The following is an 18371-nucleotide window of genomic DNA, read 5'->3' as shown; positions in this document are numbered from 1 at the left end:
GTGGTGCAATCTTGTGTCACTGCAACCTCTGCCTCCTAAGTTAAAGTGATTCTCCTGCCTCAACCTCTCAAGTAGCCTGGGATTACAGGTGTGCACCACCACACCAGGCTAATTTTTGTATTTTTTGTAGAGACAGGGTTTCACCATCTTGGCAAGGCTGGTCTCAAACTCCTGACCTCAAGTGATCCGCCCATCTTGGCCTCCCAAAATGCTGGGATTACAGGCGCAAGCCACTGCGCCCAGCTGTAGCCACTTACTTTTTCTAGTAGGAGGCACTGCCTGCGAGTACAGGAAGTCCTCCTGACTGTCTGCCTTCCTTTTATCCTGCTGTAGACCCATTGACTAGAAGGAGTTCCTGCATAGGTGTGTGTCTGTGTGTGTGTGTGCATGGGTGTATGATCTCTGTGTGTGTGTAGTCCTTCGACAATCTAACCTCATCCTCTCTTACTAAAAGGAAGCCAGGCAATGGGTGTTAGGAGGAAATAAACACTGTAGCCTGGCGAATGCGTTTTTAAGAGCTTTTTATTGGCAACAGTGCAGAACCAAGGGGAGAGGGGACGGCCCATTGCCAATCTGTCCCAGCCCCCCGGGGTCAGATGCAAAATACAAAAAGAGAACCACAAGTACAGCATGGGGTAGGGGGGTCGGGGATTCATTGAATTGTGGTTGGCAGGAGCAAGCCCTGCTCACACTCTCACACTCGCACCCAGAATTGTCAAAGATACAGATTGTAAAAATCTACGATCCCTCAGTCTCACTCACAAAAAATAAAATCTCATGTCCCCAACGAACCCAGAGTCAGACGACAGCTGGAGCATTGGCAGGGACAGTCAGAAAGGAGACAAGTGAAAACGGTCAGATGGACACAGGCGGAGGAGAAAAGACAGAGGGAGAGAGACCATCGGGAACAATCAGAGGGGCCGAGACGATCAGAAAAGGGTCAGCCCGAGACAGGCTGAGCCAGAGTTTCTAGAAGCAGTTTCCAATTCAACGGCTCGCTTTGAGGGCCAACGTGACCTAGGCCGAGGCTGCAGAAGCGCTCACACACTCACGCGCACGCACACACACACATCCATATATAATATATTTACTTATACATAATAGATATAATTGCCTTTCGGAAACCAGGAAAGGGATAAATAGCTAAGGAATGGGTCTGGGATCAGGATGGGAGACGCGCGACAAGGGGCACGTGGAATGTTTTTCATGCAGCACGGATGGAGGGCGGCGTGGTCCACCCCCCGATATTAAAAAATATAAATTTGCCTCATAAAGAAATCCTCATGAGATGAAGCGCAGGGAACGGCGGGGTGGGAGAGCCAAAACCATGGTCAGGGATGGGCGGACTCGGGCATGGAATCATGAGATTCCAGCCCCTTGAGTCTGCCAGTCCAAAAATATTGGGGGTTTGGGGGTACCAAAGCCTCAGCTCTGAAATCTTCTCCGGAAAAATGTCACAGCCCCTCACTCCCTTCCTGGAGAGGATGTGAGGGGCCAAGGGGTGGGAGAAGTTGGCGTCCTAGGCTGGGGATTGGTCGGGGGACCTTAAAGAAAAAGGCCAGGGCTGAGGGTCCTGAGGAGAGAGAGAGAGGCCACGTGGATGGAGGACTGTCACCCCCTTCTCGGTTCTGTCACCCCCTTGAGTCTAACTCACTGTTGAGGGGAGGAAGAAGGGGGATGGACGGAAGGGAGACCGAGGAAAGGCTTTCGGGAGTGGGGACATTATCCCCCCAGAGGTGTGCTGCCCCACCCAGCTGCACCCCACAATCTGGCCAACTCATTTCACAGTATAAATCACTCCAGCAGGACGGCATCACAGCAGCCCCTGCTGCCTGAAATCAGAGCGGCCCAACGAGGAAGGCCAGGAGGGTCGGCTGGCAGGGGGCAGGGTCTTGGGATAACACTGTCATCAGAAACAAGGCTGGGGGCTGATTTCGGGGTGGGGAGCCTTAGGAGGCCAGAAATTCCAATCAGAGCCAGTTTTTCTGGGAGGGAGTGGCTAGACAGTCAAGGAAGGACGTTCACATTTCAAAAGAAGTCGGGTGGGGGGATGAGATTATTCTAGGGGGGCATCGAATTCCCTTTAAGGGGGGGGCTCACTTCTGCCCAGAGTAAAGAGGATCTCACACCATGGAAATGTGGGATCAATAAGCTAAGGTCGGGAGTGCAGGGGAAACCAACCTAGGCACCCCAAAAAAAGGGTGGGTGTGGGAGACATTGGGTAGGGAGTGGCATTTTTCCTTGTTGAGCCTCTCTGGAGAGGACTCCAGCCCACCCCACAGCCTACCTCCCACCCCCGTCCCTTAATCCTCACACAGGACTGCCCGAAGGTGGGCGTCACCCGCCCCCCTCCCCACCCATCCCCAGAGCTTGGGTTGACGTCAGAGAGCCAACAGTCAGCTGGGGGTGTCCATCCCCTTCCCACCCCCTGTCCCCAAAGTCACCAGCTCTCCGGCCTCGCCGGGGCACAGAAACAAGAGGCAGGACAAAACACAAGGAATCCTCCTGTCCGATGGCAGTGGCGCAGTGGCCGCAGAGGGTCAGACGGAGGAGCCAGGGAGGCCACACACCCACTTTGTCTCTTCCCCTCTCTCTCCTCCTTCTCCTCCTCCTCCTCCTCTTCCAAGTCTCTCTCCCCCATGTGTTTGTTTGTTTTGTGTGTCTAAAGAGTTCACAGAGCGAGGAGGGAGGGCGAGTTCAGGGGATCGGAAGGCTGGTCACTGCCGCTGGTGCGTTGGGCGCCGGCGAACGCGGAGACCTCCGGGCAGGTGAGGACAAACGAAGAAGTGTACGAAGGGTTAACAACGGGGAAGGGGTCGCCGAGGACTTGAACTTCACTGTGTGTAAAGAGAGAAGCCGTCAGGTTGGGGGGTGCGTCTTGGCTGGTCTGGAAGGGCAGGGGCGGTGGTGGCGGGGGCGGCAGCAGCCAGCTGAAGCCATCTTCCTTAGCCGGTGCTGAGCCCGGCAAATCTCTCACCTCCGCCAGCGGGCCCGGCCCGGGCCCCTCTTCGTAGGGGATCTTGCAGCCCGGTTTGTGGGCCACCAGCACAAACTCCAGACGTTCCTTCTCCTTTTGGAGCTCGGCGATCTCCGACTCCAGCTCTGCTTTTTCTTCCTCCAACTGATCTGTCTCCTGAGGCCAGGGAGGCCAGGTCACAGAAGAGAGAGAGGAAGGAGAAAAAAGCATGTCAGTGACCGGGAAACTCGGGTCATGGCTCCCTTGGACTTGCTGCTGGAAGGCAGCCCCGGGCTGAGAAAAAACACCTCCTGAGATGGAGTCCTGGTGGCCATGGGAGTTGGGGCAAGGGTCTTGCCTTCCAGGAACCTCAGTTTCCCCCATCTGTCCAAAGGATGGTACAGAAGGGGCCAGGTTTATGGGGAAGTTTCTGGTGTGCAGGAGGTTTGTTGAATGAATGAACAATCGTTATGTGGTTGGTTTTGTTTTGCTTTTGAGCCAGAGTCTCGCTCTGTCCCCCAGGCTGGAGTGCAATAGTGCAATCATGGCTCACTGCAGCCTGGACCTCCTCGGCTCAAGCGATCCTCCCACTAAAGCCTCCATAGTAGCTGGGACCACAGTGGTGTGCACCACCATGCCCAACTAATTTTTTTTTTTCTTGGTAGAGACAAGTCCTCCCTATGTTTCCCAGGCTGGTCTCAAACTCCTGGGCTCAAGCAATCCTCCTGCCTTGGCCTCTCAAAGTGCTGGGATCACAGGCATGAGCCACTGTTATGTGTTTTTAATGTGTTCCCTTCTATTACCCCTCCCTCTCTACCTCCCGGGGAAGAGAAAAAGTAGAGAAGGAAAGTTGACAATTCCCTTGTTCCCTCAAGGAGTAACAGCTCACCCTGCAGGCATACAGCAGGGAACTCTCAGACCAAGGGAGGACGTAGGAAGGGAGTGGGTTTTGGGGGATGCCACCAGCACCAGGAGAGCTGTGGGTGGCTAGGGCAGGAGGTGGAATAATTTCATTTCACAGGCTTTCCAGAGTGTTAAGGGTAGAAAGAGCCCGGGAGATTTGATGAGGGTTTGCAGAGATGGAGAAACTGAGGCAAAATGGGTTGTTACTTGCTGAAGACCAGATGGGAGAAATGATGGGGGCGCCCCTCTCCTCAAGGGCCCCATGTGGCCCCTTGGGATGAAATGAAGGCTAGGAGAGTAGTCCGTGGGGTCAGGAAATGGGGGGGGGACCAGGAGTTGACTTAAGTCCATGGGGGTCTGTGTTTGTGCCCTGGGCTACCCAGTCTGGCCACAGCAGTACCTAGTTCCATGTGTGGAACGTCTAGTTCTCAACCCAGGATAAGGGTACAGGTGGAGAGGGGGCAGAGAATGGGGAGAGAGCTCCCCTCAACATCCCCTCTCCCACCCCAGGGCCTGTCCTCACCGCCTGGAGTCGGTCGGTCAGCTCCCTCCGCCGGTTCCTGCATTTAGCTGCTGCTAGTTTATTTCGTTCCCGGCGCACCCTTCGCTTCTCCTCTTCCTCTGGGGTGAGCTGAGTCAGGGAGATAGAGGCCATGAGATTTGGGGATACAGCACTCCTCCACCCATCCCGAACCTCTACTTCTTTCAGAACCCCCAAGAGCCAAAAAACAAGCCTCCGGTCCTCGCTCGTGTAGCAAGGATCTTGGGGTTTCTGTAACACTGAGGCCTTAGTGGAGCCCCCCTCCATTCATAAGAAACTTCCTGCCTCTCTTGCTTCCCCCTACCCAGGCCAAGTTCTGATGTCCCTTACTCACCGTCTCCTCTCGGGGTCTCCTAGGCCGGGCTCGGGCTGGGCGGGCAGGCCCAGGCCCACTGGTAGTTCCGCTGGTGGAAGGCCCACCACTGCCACTCGCTCCGCCACTGCTGTAGCCACTCATGCCTGGTGTGGAGTAGCTGGTTCCCGGCATGTCGTAGGGGTCGACGACCGGGGGCTGGGAGGCCAGTGGCTGCCCCTGGGACTGGGCCATGGAAGAGATGAGGGTGGGTTGCACAAGCCACTGGAGGTCCTGGCTGGTTGTGATCGCGGTGACCGTGGGCACGAAGGAACCGGGCATTTCCCCGAGACCGGCGCACTCCTACGGGGTGACACATACACACACAGGCGTAGACACACAAACAAAGACACCGACACACACACACCCAACACACATAACACACACCGACCCCGTGAGTGAGCACAGGGTGAGCGAGTGTGGATGTGTGTGTCACAGGGAAAAAGCCACAACACCCACCCTTCCACTACACCGTGACGCAGTGGTTAATGAGAGGATTTCTGCTCAACTGGCTTCTACCTCCTCCTTCTTCCTCGGGGAAAGGTTGCACGGTTCCAGCGGGTGGTGAATCACACCCCGGGTTGGTGACTCTTAGGTATGGGGGGTGGAGAGGAGGCTGGACACAGCCGGGTGACAGAACCCCCGGGACGGAGCCACAGCCACACACACAGCCACAACACCCCACCCCCACCCCAGAGGCAAGGGGAGGGAGAAGGAGAGGCCTTAGGCCAAGCCTTCCTCTACACTCACACACATACACACCCCCCTCTGCGCGAGGTCCCATGCAGGGGCGGGGGTCCCAGTCAAAAGGGTGTTTGGGGGACGGGCCTAGGAGTTTAGAACAACGTTTCAAGTTACTGTCTCTTCTCAGAGTGAGACTGACGAGTGACAGTTTAGGGTGAACGGACAGGTAGATAAAAGTAACCACTGGAGCTCTCTCAGATTGTCGCGGAGGGGGAATGGTGCGGGACCTGAGCCCCCAAGCCTCAGCAGCGCTCATCTCCCCCCTCCCGTAAATGGACTCCTGGAACTGCTCTGAAGGCTTAACTACTCTCTCGGGGGGCGTGGTGAGGGAAGGGCTGGCTCGCCGACCAATCAGAGTCCTGGGAACCCAGAGGGGGCGGAGCTCCTGGAGACCACCTGGCTGGTTGCCCTTCGGTTCGCGGTTCTAGTCCTGTCTTGGGACACACCGGAGGAACCGGGCATGAGGAGCAGAGGGAGTGGGAATGTGTCTGTGTGTGCCTGGAGAAGAGGGTGACAGCCACCGTATCTCTCCAAGAAACGCCAGCACACAAGCAGACACCCCCTTCTCCTGAGAGCCCAGGGACTAGATCCCCGCAAGGGCCTCGCAGATCCATTGGGTCGCAGACAGGCGCTCTTGTCACGACAGGGATCCCCTCCCTCTGCCTCTAGAGGCGCCGAAAAGAGACCCAGCCGCCAAGGAACCACGGGTTCCGGGGACAGAGAGGGGGGAAGGAAAATGCACCCTACAAATAGGAAGGGAAAGCTGATTGGCCAAGGCGTGCGCCCCGGCGGCCAATCGAAACGCCGGGCTGCCCCCTCCCTTAGCAACGTGGCCCCGGCGTTCCAAAATAGAACGCTCCCGGGACGTCAGGGGCGGGGCGGACGAAGGGGGCGCCGCGCGCCGTGCGTGCCCCGCGTCAGACGGAGGATTCCAGCGCGTCAGCCGTTACGCACGGGTCCCCCGTTACGTCTCCGCGCAGGAGGCGGAGGCAGCGCGGCTGAGGGTTCGAGGCCCCTCTTCCCGATGGGTGGAGGGCGACCCGGCACCGAAGTGGGCGCTCCGAAGGAGGAGGAAAGGAAAAGAGACTGCTGGAAGCTTCCCCGGGATTTCCCCCACCTGCCTAACTGCGCTAGCTTCAGGTCTGGGACCCGAGCAGGGGGCAGTCCCGGGGCCGGCTCAAAGTTCTCAGCCCCGCTACCGCATACACGTTGCATTGAGCAGCGCATTACCCACCCCACCCCCACCTCGCCCCAAAGCCTACCCTCCCTGCCGCGTTCCCTCCTTGCGCTCCACGCACGCAACCAATTGCAAACATCTCCCGACTCTTTGCAGTTTGCAAAGTGCGCTGTGAGCCTTTTCCATCTCAGATCTAGGGTTCTGATGCGCCTTTTTGTGGGGGTTGGGGTTTATTCTTTTCACCCTTGACTTAAAAAATAAAACCTACAAAGCAGCACCCCTACTATCAAAAACTTACCTGGGAGGCGGCGGCGGTGGGTGGACTGCCGAAGGAGTCCACCGAAGACAGATATTGAGACTCGGCAGAGGGTGAGGAGCTGCACCGGGAGCCGGAGTCGTAGTCTCCGGGGAAAGCCTGAAACATTTCCCTGGGCACAGGGGGGCCCCTGTGACCACGCTGAGGTCGCCGGGAAGCCAAGGCTATGGCCGGGTTGGGGAAGTAAGGTGCAAGTCCGGGGTGAGCCGTGGGAGTCCCCGGTGAGCTGAGCGAGTCCTCAAAGTACGCTGTCCGGGGAAGCTCGGGGAAGGAGCAACGTCCCGTTCCAACAATGGCAAAGTTTCTGTGCAGTCTTCCTGCGGTGCCCAGGCCCCCACAGGATGCCGCTGTACCTCTTGAAAGTGCAGGCTCCGTAGGACCCAGGGGCGAGGGAGGGGTTGCTCCCCCAGGGGCAGAAAGCGCTGTCCCGCTGTACAGAATCAGCTTCAGCTACGGTCTCCTCCACGCGTCCGGCGGGTCCCACGGGGGGAGGGGAGTAATAAAGAAGACCAAAAAAAGTAAGTCGGTCCTCCAAAAGAAAATGAAGAAATATCTGGAAGAATCTTTCCAAAAACTTTCTCCCCGGAAAAAAAAAGATTAATGAAATTTCATAACCCCCAAGAAGAACCACAACAATCAAGTTTCCAAGTCTTGGTTCCGCGTGTCCCTGCCGTGGCCGTAGCTCTGAGTCTTATGAATGAAGCACAGACCCGCCAGCCTGTATTTATATGCCCGGGACCCGCCCCCCTGCTTACGTCACCCGCCCCTTGCTGGACAAACTTCCCCAAATCTCCGGCCCCGCCAAATCGAGTCCCGCACTGTCCAGCAAGAGGTCTGTTCTAGACTCGATCTGGTCACTTGCATGACCCTCGGGGCCCTGGGGGTCTCGGGGGTTGCGTTCCGGGCCACTCGGCGGGAGGGGATCCCGGCCCCGCCTTCCCGGAGTTCCTGTGACGCAATTAGCCATATAAGGAGCTCGGCCGGCGCGGCGGAGTGTTTGTTTGGTATCCTAGCAATGACGTCAGAGGGAATCCCTCGCTCGCTCGCGCGCGCGCCCGCGCCCCGCCCGCGCCTGCGCAGTGCAACGCCGCCCCGGGGGCTGGTAATAATAGGCGCTTAGACTAGCCCCGCAGGGACCCCGCTGACCCGGGCGGGGAAGACCCCAGCCTGCAGGTCCCCTTCACCTCTGGCGCCCCCACCTACCCTGTTCTACCGATGGTGCAGCGCCCCCATTCGAGAAGAAGAGCAGATCTCCAAAAGGAGACCCTGATTAGTGTGGTGTGGTCACGTAGGTGGGGAAACTGAGTCCCGAGCGGGCTGTGATGCTCAGGTGAAAGTGGAGGTAATGGAGGGATTCCGAGGCTCGTCCTGGTTTCTGTCCTGATTCGCTGTGCGAGCTTAGGAAATGTTTTCCCTCTCTGAGCTTTAGCTTTAATCTTCCCCGCTGGGCAAAGGATGTGTGTCTTGGACCCTGCTGGCCTTACAGGTCCGGCGTTTGGGAGGGATGCGGATTTGGAGGAGATGGGAAATGAAACTTAGAGAGAAGCCTCTCTTCTGATGGTGTTGGTAGCCTCTCCTTCCACCTTTTAATCCACCCGGAGACAAAGAATGTGTAAGAGGGAGGGGATATTATTATTAATTCTAATAATAATAATTAATGCCTTGTATTTGGCACTTGCCAAGCACAGCTCCTGTGCTACGCCTTTCAGTAGAAGATTTGTAATCCTTAAAACAGCTCTGGAAGGTTAAGAGAGAAAAATCTTCATTTTATAAAAGAAAAAAATGATACTCAGGGAGGTTAAATGACTTGCCCAAGATCCCATCACAAGAAATTCAAACTCAGAATTGTCAAACTCCAGATTTCCTACCCTTTCCATTTCTTTTCTGATTTCTGAGACCTGCCTGGTTGGATGAAACTCCCTGAAAAACCTGTGTCTGGGGTTTTTTTAAATGATAATGGCAATATTAGTAGCTTTCACTTGTCAGGTCTTTTTTTTTTTTTTTTTTTTTTTTTTTTTGAGACGGAGTCTTGCTCTGCCGCCAGGCTGGAGTGCAGTGGCGATCTCGGCTCACTGCAACCTCCGCCTCACCTTAGCCTCTCGAGTTGCTGGACTACAGGCGCGGGCCACCACGTCAAGCTAATTTTTATATGTTTAGTACAGACGGGGTTTCACCATATTGGTCAGGATGGTCTTGAACTCCTGACCTGGTGATCCGCCTGCCTCGGCCTCCCGAAGTGTCGAGATTACAGGCGTGAGCCACAGCGCCTGGCCTGTCAGGTCTTTCTAAGCTTTACAATCTCCTTCTTACTGCTCTTAGCATGTACTGTTGCAATCTTGGCTCACAGGGGTACAGGTGACTACCTGAGCAAATCTTCTTAGCAAATGGGGTTCATGAATCTGACGTTTTTTTTTTTTTTTTTTGACAGAGTCTCACTCTGTTGCCCAGGCTGGAGTGCAGTGCCACAATCTCGGCTCACTGCAGCCTACATCTCCTGGGTTCAAGTGATTCTCCTGCCTCAGCCTCCCGAGTAGCTGGGATTACAGGTGTGCGCCACCACACCTGGCTAATTTTTGTTTTGTTCTGTTTTGTTTTTTGAGACAGAGTTTTGCTCTTGTTGCCCAGGCTGGAGTGCAATGGCACGATCTCGGCTCACCGCAACCTCCGCCTCCCGGGTTGAAGTGCTTCTCCTGCCTCAGCCTCCCGAGTAGCTGGGATTACAGGCATGTGCCACCATGCCTGGCTAGTTTTTTTGTATTTTTAGTAGAGACAGAGTTTCTCCATATTGGTCAGGCTGCTCTCAAACTCCCAAACTCAGGTGATCCTCCCGCCTTGGCCTTCTTAAATGCTGGGATTACAGGCGTAAGCCACTGTGCCCGGCCTAACTTTTGTATTTTTAATAGAGATGGGGGTTTCACCATGTTGGCCAGGCTGGTTTCGAACTCCCAACCTCAGGTGATCCGCCTGCCTCGGTCTCCCAAAGTGCTGGGATTACAGGCATGAGCCACTATGCCTGCACTGACTTGGGTATTTCAGATGCTACAGCCCCCAACTCTTAAGCACCCACTGGGAAGGGTGCTACCAGCTATTTCACAAACCTCAGAGAACCCAGCACTTCCCTCCCAGTGCACAGCCTGGCCCAGCCCTGGGCACAAAGGAAGAAGCACTTTTAAAACATTGAATTTCACAGGTTGAGAGAGGGGCAGGGCCTGTCTCCGGGCTACACAGCAAGCCTGTGGCAGAGCCAAGGCGATGGTTCTTAATTTTCAGGGAGTCCTGATTCCCTGCCCCAATAGTAGGGAGGGTGTAGGGAGATGTGGAAGACTAGAGGGACGTGGGGGGCATAGGTGGAGGTTCAAGTTTCCAGACAAAAGTCCAGCCTCAAGCCCACCCCCTGCCCTGTTCCTCCACGCCCCCTCTGTCTGCCACCAGCCAGGAGGGAGGGACAGAGACTGGGAGATGACACAGCAGCCACTAGTAGGCAGTGACTCGGCCCCAGCATCAGACAGGGAGTGACCCCTCATTCTTCTGTCTCATCCAAGCCCCTCATCTCCTCCTCCATGGAATAAAGGAAACATGCAAAGACCTACCCTGGCTGGCCAGAGACTCCACACCCGACACAGGCAACACAGACTTCCACACAGCCGCTCACCAGGTCACGCGTGGGCAATCACCCACAGCCACATAGAAACAGCTTCACAGACACACACTGGCATGTGGAAACACACACTGTCATATGGTTATCAACACACATGACACACATCCCTACACACACAAGAAGACGTAGGGTTCAGGTGTACAGCCAAGGACAGGTACAGACCCCCAAAACACACAGAGACCCCTAGATCTTTACTAAAGGTGCATATATGATCTCACACATTGACACACACACAACACTCAGAGATCAAGAGAGCAACACACACATATACACATATACACATAGATACACACATACACACACACATATATATATATACACACACACAGACCAACAACCATGCATCCTGCAGAGGGACTCGTGTAAAGCTCTTCACACAACCATAACAAGAGCTAATTCTTCCCAAGAGCTTATATTAACTTATTTAATTCTCACAACACTCCTGTGAGGTACAAATGATCATTTTACAGGAAGGGAAACAGAAGCCCAGAGAGGTTAAGTTATTCACCCAGAGTCACACAGCAAGTAAGTAGCAAAGCTGGAATAACACCATGCAGGGTGTCAGGCTTCAAAGTCTGTTCCTTGAACTATTAGTATTATTTTGAGATAGGATCTTGCTCTGTCATCCAGGCTAGAGTGCAGTGATGCAATCATAGTTCACTGTAACCTCGAACTCCTGGCCTCAAGTAATCCTCCTGCTTCAGCCTCCCAAGTAACTAACAACTACAGGTGCGTACCACCATGCTTGACTAATTTTTTTTTTTTTTTTTTGAGACAGAGTCTCGTTTCTTCGCCCAGGCTGGAGTGCAATGGCATGATCTTGGCTCACTGCAACCTCTACCTCCCAGATTCAAGCAATTTTCCGGCCTCAGCCTCCCCAGTAGGTGGGATTACAGGCATGTGCCACCACGCCTGGCTAATTTTTCTATTTTTAGTAGAGAAAGGGTTTCACCCTGTTGACCAGGCTGGTCTCAAACTCCTGACCTCAAGTGATCCACCCACCTTGGCCTCCCAAAGTGCTGGGATTACAGGCGTGAGCCACTGTGTCCAGCCTAATTTTTTTATTCAAAAAAATGTTTTTAGAGTCAGGGTCTCACTTTGTTGCAGGCTGATCTCAAACTCCTGGCTTCAAGCGATCCTCCCACCTCAGCCTCCCAGAGCGCTGAGATTGCAGGAGTAAGCCACGGCGCCTGGCTTTGAAATTTATTAAATGGGTTTATGTATGTCAATTTATTCACACAGGGATGCTCATGTTCACGAACACACTGGGCATTTATCCTCACACGATCGCAGACCCAGAAGCTAGGTGGCCTAGGCTTATGTTCCGCTTCTATCACCAAGTAGCTTGGTGAACTTGAGCTAGGACATCCGGGGCCTCAGTTTCCCTACCCGACAAAGGAGAACAAGATGTAGTGCCCACTCATGAGACTGGTGGGAAGATATCATAAGGCTCCTGACAGATTGTACATGCTCGTTTTGTTACTAAAACAAAGTCTTCCTGAACTTTATACATGTATACCCTCCTGACCCATATCCGTGGGTCGGTTAAATTTATCATGGGCCCTAGGCACTGTGCCCCTGGGCCTAAGGGAGAAATTGGCCCTGGAGACACACACACACACACATACACACACACACACACACCTGCACTCACAGACATGACACACCTGCCTGCAGAGCATGGAGTGGGTAAATCAAGTTCTTCTCCATAAGGCTCATTCCTTGCCAGGCTCAGTGTCTCATGCCTGTAATCCCAGCACTTTGGGAGGCCAAGGTGGGCAGATCACTTGAGCCCGGGAGTTCAAGACCAGCCTGGACAATGGCAAGACCCCATCTCTACTAAAAATACAAAAACTAGCCAGGGGTGGTGGCGTGTGCCTGTAGTCTCAGCTATTTGGGAGGCTGAGGTGAGAGGATCACTTGAGCTTGGGGAGGGCAAGGCTTCAGTGAGCCATGATCATGCCACGGCACTTCCAGCCTGGGTGACAAAGTGAGACCTTGTCTCAAAAATAATAATAATAAAAAATAAAATAAGAGGCTCCTCTTGGAAGGAGAGCTTCCAGGAGGAGGAGGACCTGAGCATGGGGGAGAGGGTTGCATCTCTGCCCTGGCTCCCAAGGGCTCAGCTCTGCTTGGGGGAGACGGCTGGGGGAGCCTTAGCCTTCTGCCTCCCGCAGGGTGGAGGTGGGTATCAGTGCCCATCCTGGCTTTCCTCAGAGTATCCTGTAAACAGCCCCCGGCAGAGTCTGTGAAGGCCAGCCACACCACGTCCTTCCCACCTTCCTCTGGCCAAACCTCTGCTCCTCTGTTCCTCAGTTCCCCCATCTGTAGAGCAAGAAGGTTGAGTGATGGCGGTCTTCGAAATTTCTTTCCAGCTCTGAAATTTAATAATACAGAGGAGGAGGAGGGCTGGGTGTGGTGGCTCACGCCTGTAATCCCAGCACTTTGGGAGGCCTAGGTAAGAGGATCGCCAGAGGCCAGGAGTACAAGACCAGCCTGGGCAACATAGTGAGACCCACCCCCAACCTCTACAAGAAATTTAAAAATTAGCTGGGCATGGTGGCACACACCTGTAGTCCCAGCCACTCAGGAGGCTGAGGCACGGGCATCACTTGAGCCCTGAGAGATTGAGGTTGCAGTGAGCTATGACTCTGCCACTATACTCCAGCCTGGGCAACAGAGCGAGACCCTGTTCCCCCCCCAAAAAAAATAAAAATAAAAAAATAGAAAAGAGGAAGAGGAGCTGCTGAAAACAAGCACTTAGGAAGCTGTGCTTAGCACTTTCACACTCATTATCTCAGTTAAGCCTCACTCCACGTCAGTCCTCTACATGGATTCTGTTTTGATCTCCTTGTACAGAAAAGGAAACTGAGGTACAGGGGGGTTAAGCCTGAGAGCAGCGCTTCTCAATTCGTGGTGATCACGAATTGCCTGGAGAGCCAGCAGATCTGCTGTGGTCATCTTTTTATTTTTATTATTTTATTTTATTTTGAGACGGAATTTCACTCTTGTTACACAGGCTTGAGTGCAGTGGCACGATCTCAGCTCACTGCAACCTCTGCCTCCCGGGTTCAAGTGATTCTCCTGCCTCAGCCTCCCGAGTAGCTGGGATTACAGGTGTGTGCCACCATGCCTGGCTAATTTTTGTATTTTGTTTTTTGAGACGGAGTTTCACTGTTGTTGCCCAGGCTGGAGTGCAATGGTGCCATCTTGGCTCACTGCAACCTCTGCACCCCTGGGTTCAAGCAATTTTCCTGCCTCAGCCTGTAGCTGGGATTACAGGCGTTAGCCACTACGCCCAGCTAAATTTTTTTGTATTTTTAGTAGAGACGGGGTTTCACTATTTTGGTCAGGCTGGTCTCGAACTCCTGACCTCAGGTGATCCGCCTGCCTCAGCCTCCCAAAGTGCTGGGATTACAGGCGTGAGCCACCGCGCCCAGCCTATTTTATTATTATTTTTTTAAGACTCACTCTGTCACCCAGGCTGGAGTGCAGTGGTGCCATCTTGGCTCACTGCAGCCTTCACCTCTCGGGTTCAAAAGATTCTCCTGCCTCAGCCTCCCAAGTAGCTGGGATTACAGGCGTGTGCTACCACGCCCGGCTAATTTTTTTGTATTTTTAGTAGAGACAGAGTTTCGCTATGTTGGCCAAGCTGGTCTTGAACTCCCAACCTCAAATGAACTCCTGACCTCAAATGATCTGCCTGCCTCAGCTTCCCAAACTGCTGGGATTACAGGTGTGAGCCACTGTGCCCAGCCATCTTTTGCATTTCCAACAAGCCCCCTGGTAGTGCAGAAGCTTTGGCCCCAGGGACACCCCCTGGGAGGAACAAGGTCTGTGGGTTTCTGAGGCTCCAGAGGAGGGGAGGGGCACGTTCATGAGTGTGCACGTGCAGGTGTGTGTTTGACTGTTGTGACTGTGACCTCTGGGAGGGCAAATCCAGGCTGATTTAGTAACGGCTGCCTCCTCAGTGCTCAGCATTGAATAGTGAGTGTGACTGGGTGGCTGAGCCGCTCCACACTGAGCAATCCCTAGGGCTTCCTGGAGGAGATGTCCCTGGAGTTTCAGGGAAGCAGAGTAACCCAGATTGGACACTGTTAGCTTGACCCTCCCAGTACCCCTGCATCCTGCATTATACTCCTCCCCATGGCTCCTGAGGCCCTGAACGACCTGCTCCGAGGGTGCCCTAGTCTCGTCTCTCCTCTCCCCGTTGTGTTCCAGATGCCTGGCCTCTCTCCCTGGACTTCAGGCCTTTGCAGGTGCTTTTCCCTCTGCCTGGGTCACTCTTCCCTTCGCTTCCTGTGGCTCATAGTCTTTTCCTCCAAGTCTTAACTCCCATAACCTCTCCTCCAGGAAGCCCTCCCTGATCTCCAGGCTGAGTCAAGGCCCCCTCTCCTGGGGTCCCTCCCTCCAACTCTGCCAATCTGGGCTCATCATTGTCTGGGGATAGGTTTGTCTCCCTCATTGGGTTGTGAGCTGGGTGAAAGCTCGGCCAAAACCATCCCGGTCACTGCCTTGTCCCCAGCATAGCACGTGGTACCCAATAGGTGGTTATTAAATATTTGTTCAAGCCAGGCACAGTGGCTCATGCCTGTAATCCCAGCACTTTGGGAGGCTGAGGCAGGAGAATCACTTGAGGCCAGTTTGAGGCCAGCCCAGTCAACATAGTAAGACCCTGTCACTACAAAAAAATTTAAAATAAAAACAATATAATATAATATAAGAATAAATGAGGCAGGACTGGTGGCTCATGCCTGTAATCCCAGCATATTGGGAGACTGAGGTGAGCAGATCACTTCAGGCCAGGAGTTCGAGACCAGCCTGGGCAACATGGTGAAACCCCATCTCTACTAAATATACAAAAATTAGCTGGGCGCAGTGGCACACACCTGTAATCCCAGCTACTTGGTGGCTGAGGCACAAGACTCTCTTAAACCCAGGAGGCAGAGGCTTCAGTGAGCCGAGATTGCGCCACTGCACTCCATCCTGGGTGACAGAGCGAGACTCTGTCTCAATAAATAAATAAATAAATAAATGTTTGTTGAGTAAATGGATCTTCACCATTCATTCATTTACTAATTCCTAAACTCTGACAGACTCTCAGACAGAAACATATCTGAGCCTCTTTTTTTTTTTTTTTTTTTTTTTGAGACGGAGTCTTGTTCTGTTGCCCAGGCTGGAGTCCAGTGGCGCAATCTTGGCTCACTGCAACCTCCACCTCCTGGGTTCAAGCAATTCTAATGCCTCAGCCTCCCTGAGTAGCTGGGATTACAAGCGTGTGCCACCACGCCCGGTTAATTTTTTTGTATTTTTAGAAGAGATGGAGTTTCGCCATGTTGGCCAGGCTGGTTTTGAACTCCTCACCTCAGGTGATCCGCCCGCCTCAGCCTCCCAAAGTGCTGGGATTACAGGCGTGAGCCACCACACACCCGGCCAACCTCTCTTTTGCCGTGAGGACAGAGACAGATACACACGTAGACAGGCTGAGATGTCCATATATACACCCTATCCACAGATCTCAACAGGCAGACACCTTTCACCTTTGTCTGTGCAGGCACCTGATGACTATTTGTTTATTTTTGTTTTTGCTTTTGTTTTGAGACAAGGTCTTGCTGTCGCCCAGGCTGGAGTGCAGTGGCGCAATCTCGGCTCACTGCAGTCTGGACCTCCTGGGCTCAATGGTCCTCCTGCCTAGGCCTCCCAAAGTGCTGGGATTATAGGCATGAGCGACCACGCCCGGCGACAAGATGACTTATTTGAACACACGATCACACACACAGAACAAAACACGTGCAGTTGTGCAAACACATCACATAGGTGTTCACACCCCAAACACAGTAAATGACACACACTTTTGTCTACATAGACTTACACATCTCCACACACACACAAATGGGTAGAGCTAGGACCCCTGCTCTCACAGTGATACCCTCAGAGTTGTGGACTTGAAGAATGTCTTCTTTTTTTCTTTTCTTTTCTTTTTTTTTGAGACAGGGTCTCCCTCTGTCGCCCAGGCTGGAGTGCAGTGGCTCGATCTCAGCTCACTGCAGCCTCCACCTCCCAGGCTCAAGGGATCCTCCTGCCTCAGCCCCCCAAGTAGTAGCTGGGACTACAGGTGCCCACTGTCATGCCTGGCTAATTTTCATATTTTTTGTAGATACGAAGTCTCACTATGTTGCCCAGGCTGTTCTCGAACTCCTGAGCTCAAGCGATCCACTCACCTGGGCCTCCCAAAGTGCTAAGGCTACAGGCCTGAACCACTGTGCCCGGCCTACTTGAAGAATTTCTTAGATATCCGTACAGACACGTGTGCGAAGGTTCACTCACAGTCACACCGTACGAAACAGCTCCTAAAGACCCACTGACTTGGCCGGGCGCGGTGGCTCATGCCTGTAATCCCAGCACTTTGGGAGGCCGAGGCAGGAGAATCATGAGGTCAGGAGTTTGAGACCAGCCTGGCCAACATGGTGAAACCCCATCTTTACTAAAAATACAACAAATTAGCTGAGTGTATTGGTGGGCACCTGTAATCCCAGCTACTCGGGGGGCCGAGGCAGGAGAATCACTTGAACCCAGGAGGTAGAGGTTGCAGTGAGCCAAGATCGTGCCACTGCACTCCAGCCTGGGCAACAGAGTGAGATTCCATCTCAAAAAACAAAAAACAAAAAGACCCACTGACTTGCTTGGAGTGGCATCCAAATCTATAGAACAAGGCACTCTAGGCACACAGATACACGAATCACACACCTAGCTTCCACTGCCATGCAGCCTCTTCCACACACACTCACAACTACACACACACACACGGGTTCACATATATGAGTATGCACAGAGTAGGGCAGACACAGACACACCCAGGTACAAACACAGACCTAAGCAGAGAGCCACCCTTGGATACAGACTTGTCCCAGGCCCTGGCCAGGGGTGCCACTCACTGTGGGGGCTGTCTCTCACCCACCCCCAATCCAGGGGGCACACACTGTGCAATGTGTCACTCACTGACTACAACCACTCCAGGCATTGGGTGGTGAGAGTGCTTAGTGAGGCTGGAGTAAGCCAGGAGGACTTCCTGGTGGAGGTGGATCTAGATAATCATGATTGAGTTCTGAAGAGTTATGAATGAGGAGGGAGTCCCTGAAGCACTCTCTCCCTACTACAGACATATATAACCAAAGAAGAGGCAGCAGGAAGGACTGCAGGGAGGTAAGAAGTAGAACTGGACCAAGGCAGTGAGGGTGACTGTTTTGGAGGCCTTCCTAGTTGGACTTAGGGATAAAAATAATGTGTATTTGGCCAGGCACGGTGGCTCACGCCTGTAATCCCAACACTGTGGGAGGCCAAGGTGGGTGGATCACCTAAGGTCTGGAGTTCGAGACCAGCCTGACCAACATGGTGAAACCCCGTCTCTTCTAAAAATACAAAAATTAGCTGGGCATGGTGGTAGGGTCCTGTAATCCCTACTACTTGGGAGGCTGAGACAGGAGAATCGCTTGAACCTGGGAGGCGGAGGTTGCAGTGGGCCGAGATTGCACCACTGCACTCCAGCCTGGGCAACAGAGTGAGACTCCATCACCGAAAAAAAAAAAAAAAAGAAAGAAAGAAACAAAAAAAGGGAAAATAATATGTTTAGTACTAAGAATCATAACAGAGTCACTTGAGAAAGCTTACCGTGTATGTACCAAGTGCCACAAATACAGATGCAGTTGACTCTCTTTTTTCTTCTT

The 18371-nt window shown here is 53.4% G+C and overlaps 1 protein-coding gene across 4 annotated transcripts, besides 5 other annotated features; it reads right to left on the bottom strand.

Moving 5' to 3' along the window:
- Positions 505-7688, bottom strand: FOSB (FosB proto-oncogene, AP-1 transcription factor subunit). 4 transcript variants are annotated; one of them, NM_001411069.1, is made up of 5 exons: positions 6972-7688; positions 4735-5055; positions 4383-4490; positions 2978-3133; positions 505-2837 (listed from the first exon to the last, which is right to left on the bottom strand). In NM_001411069.1, the coding sequence occupies exons 1-5, from the start codon at positions 7095-7097 to the stop codon at positions 2835-2837; spliced, it is 714 nt and encodes a 237-aa protein (NP_001397998.1). In that variant the 5' UTR covers positions 7098-7688; the 3' UTR covers positions 505-2834. The 4 variants fall into 4 exon arrangements, with proteins under 4 accessions (NP_001397998.1, NP_006723.2, XP_047294506.1 ...); NM_006732.3 differs by having other exon boundaries at positions 505-3133; XM_047438550.1 differs by lacking the exon at positions 4383-4490.
- Positions 5591-5640: an enhancer, noted in NCBI's record as "active region_14799". NCBI's record gives its function as "activates an Ori minimal core promoter by ATAC-STARR-seq in GM12878 lymphoblastoid cells {active_cell/tissue: GM12878}" and the evidence as "EXISTENCE:reporter gene assay evidence [ECO:0000049][PMID:35858748]".
- Positions 6686-7587: an enhancer, noted in NCBI's record as "H3K27ac-H3K4me1 hESC enhancer chr19:45971355-45972256 (GRCh37/hg19 assembly coordinates)". NCBI's record gives its function as "activates a minimal SCP1, AML or CMV promoter by ChIP-STARR-seq in primed H9 embryonic stem cells {active_cell/tissue: H9 hESC(primed)}" and the evidence as "EXISTENCE:reporter gene assay evidence [ECO:0000049][PMID:30033119]".
- Positions 7772-8051: a silencer, noted in NCBI's record as "silent region_10771". NCBI's record gives its function as "represses an Ori minimal core promoter by ATAC-STARR-seq in GM12878 lymphoblastoid cells {active_cell/tissue: GM12878}" and the evidence as "EXISTENCE:reporter gene assay evidence [ECO:0000049][PMID:35858748]".
- Positions 9995-10495: an enhancer, noted in NCBI's record as "H3K4me1 hESC enhancer chr19:45968447-45968947 (GRCh37/hg19 assembly coordinates)". NCBI's record gives its function as "activates a minimal SCP1, AML or CMV promoter by ChIP-STARR-seq in primed H9 embryonic stem cells {active_cell/tissue: H9 hESC(primed)}" and the evidence as "EXISTENCE:reporter gene assay evidence [ECO:0000049][PMID:30033119]".
- Positions 10496-10996: an enhancer, noted in NCBI's record as "H3K4me1 hESC enhancer chr19:45967946-45968446 (GRCh37/hg19 assembly coordinates)". NCBI's record gives its function as "activates a minimal SCP1, AML or CMV promoter by ChIP-STARR-seq in primed H9 embryonic stem cells {active_cell/tissue: H9 hESC(primed)}" and the evidence as "EXISTENCE:reporter gene assay evidence [ECO:0000049][PMID:30033119]".

This window comes from Homo sapiens, chromosome 19 (genome assembly GCF_000001405.40).
Source record: "Homo sapiens chromosome 19, GRCh38.p14 Primary Assembly".
NCBI lineage: Eukaryota > Metazoa > Chordata > Mammalia > Primates > Hominidae > Homo > Homo sapiens.
The sequence above is the reverse complement of the archived record's forward strand: the minus strand, read 5'-3'. Positions and strand labels throughout refer to the sequence as shown.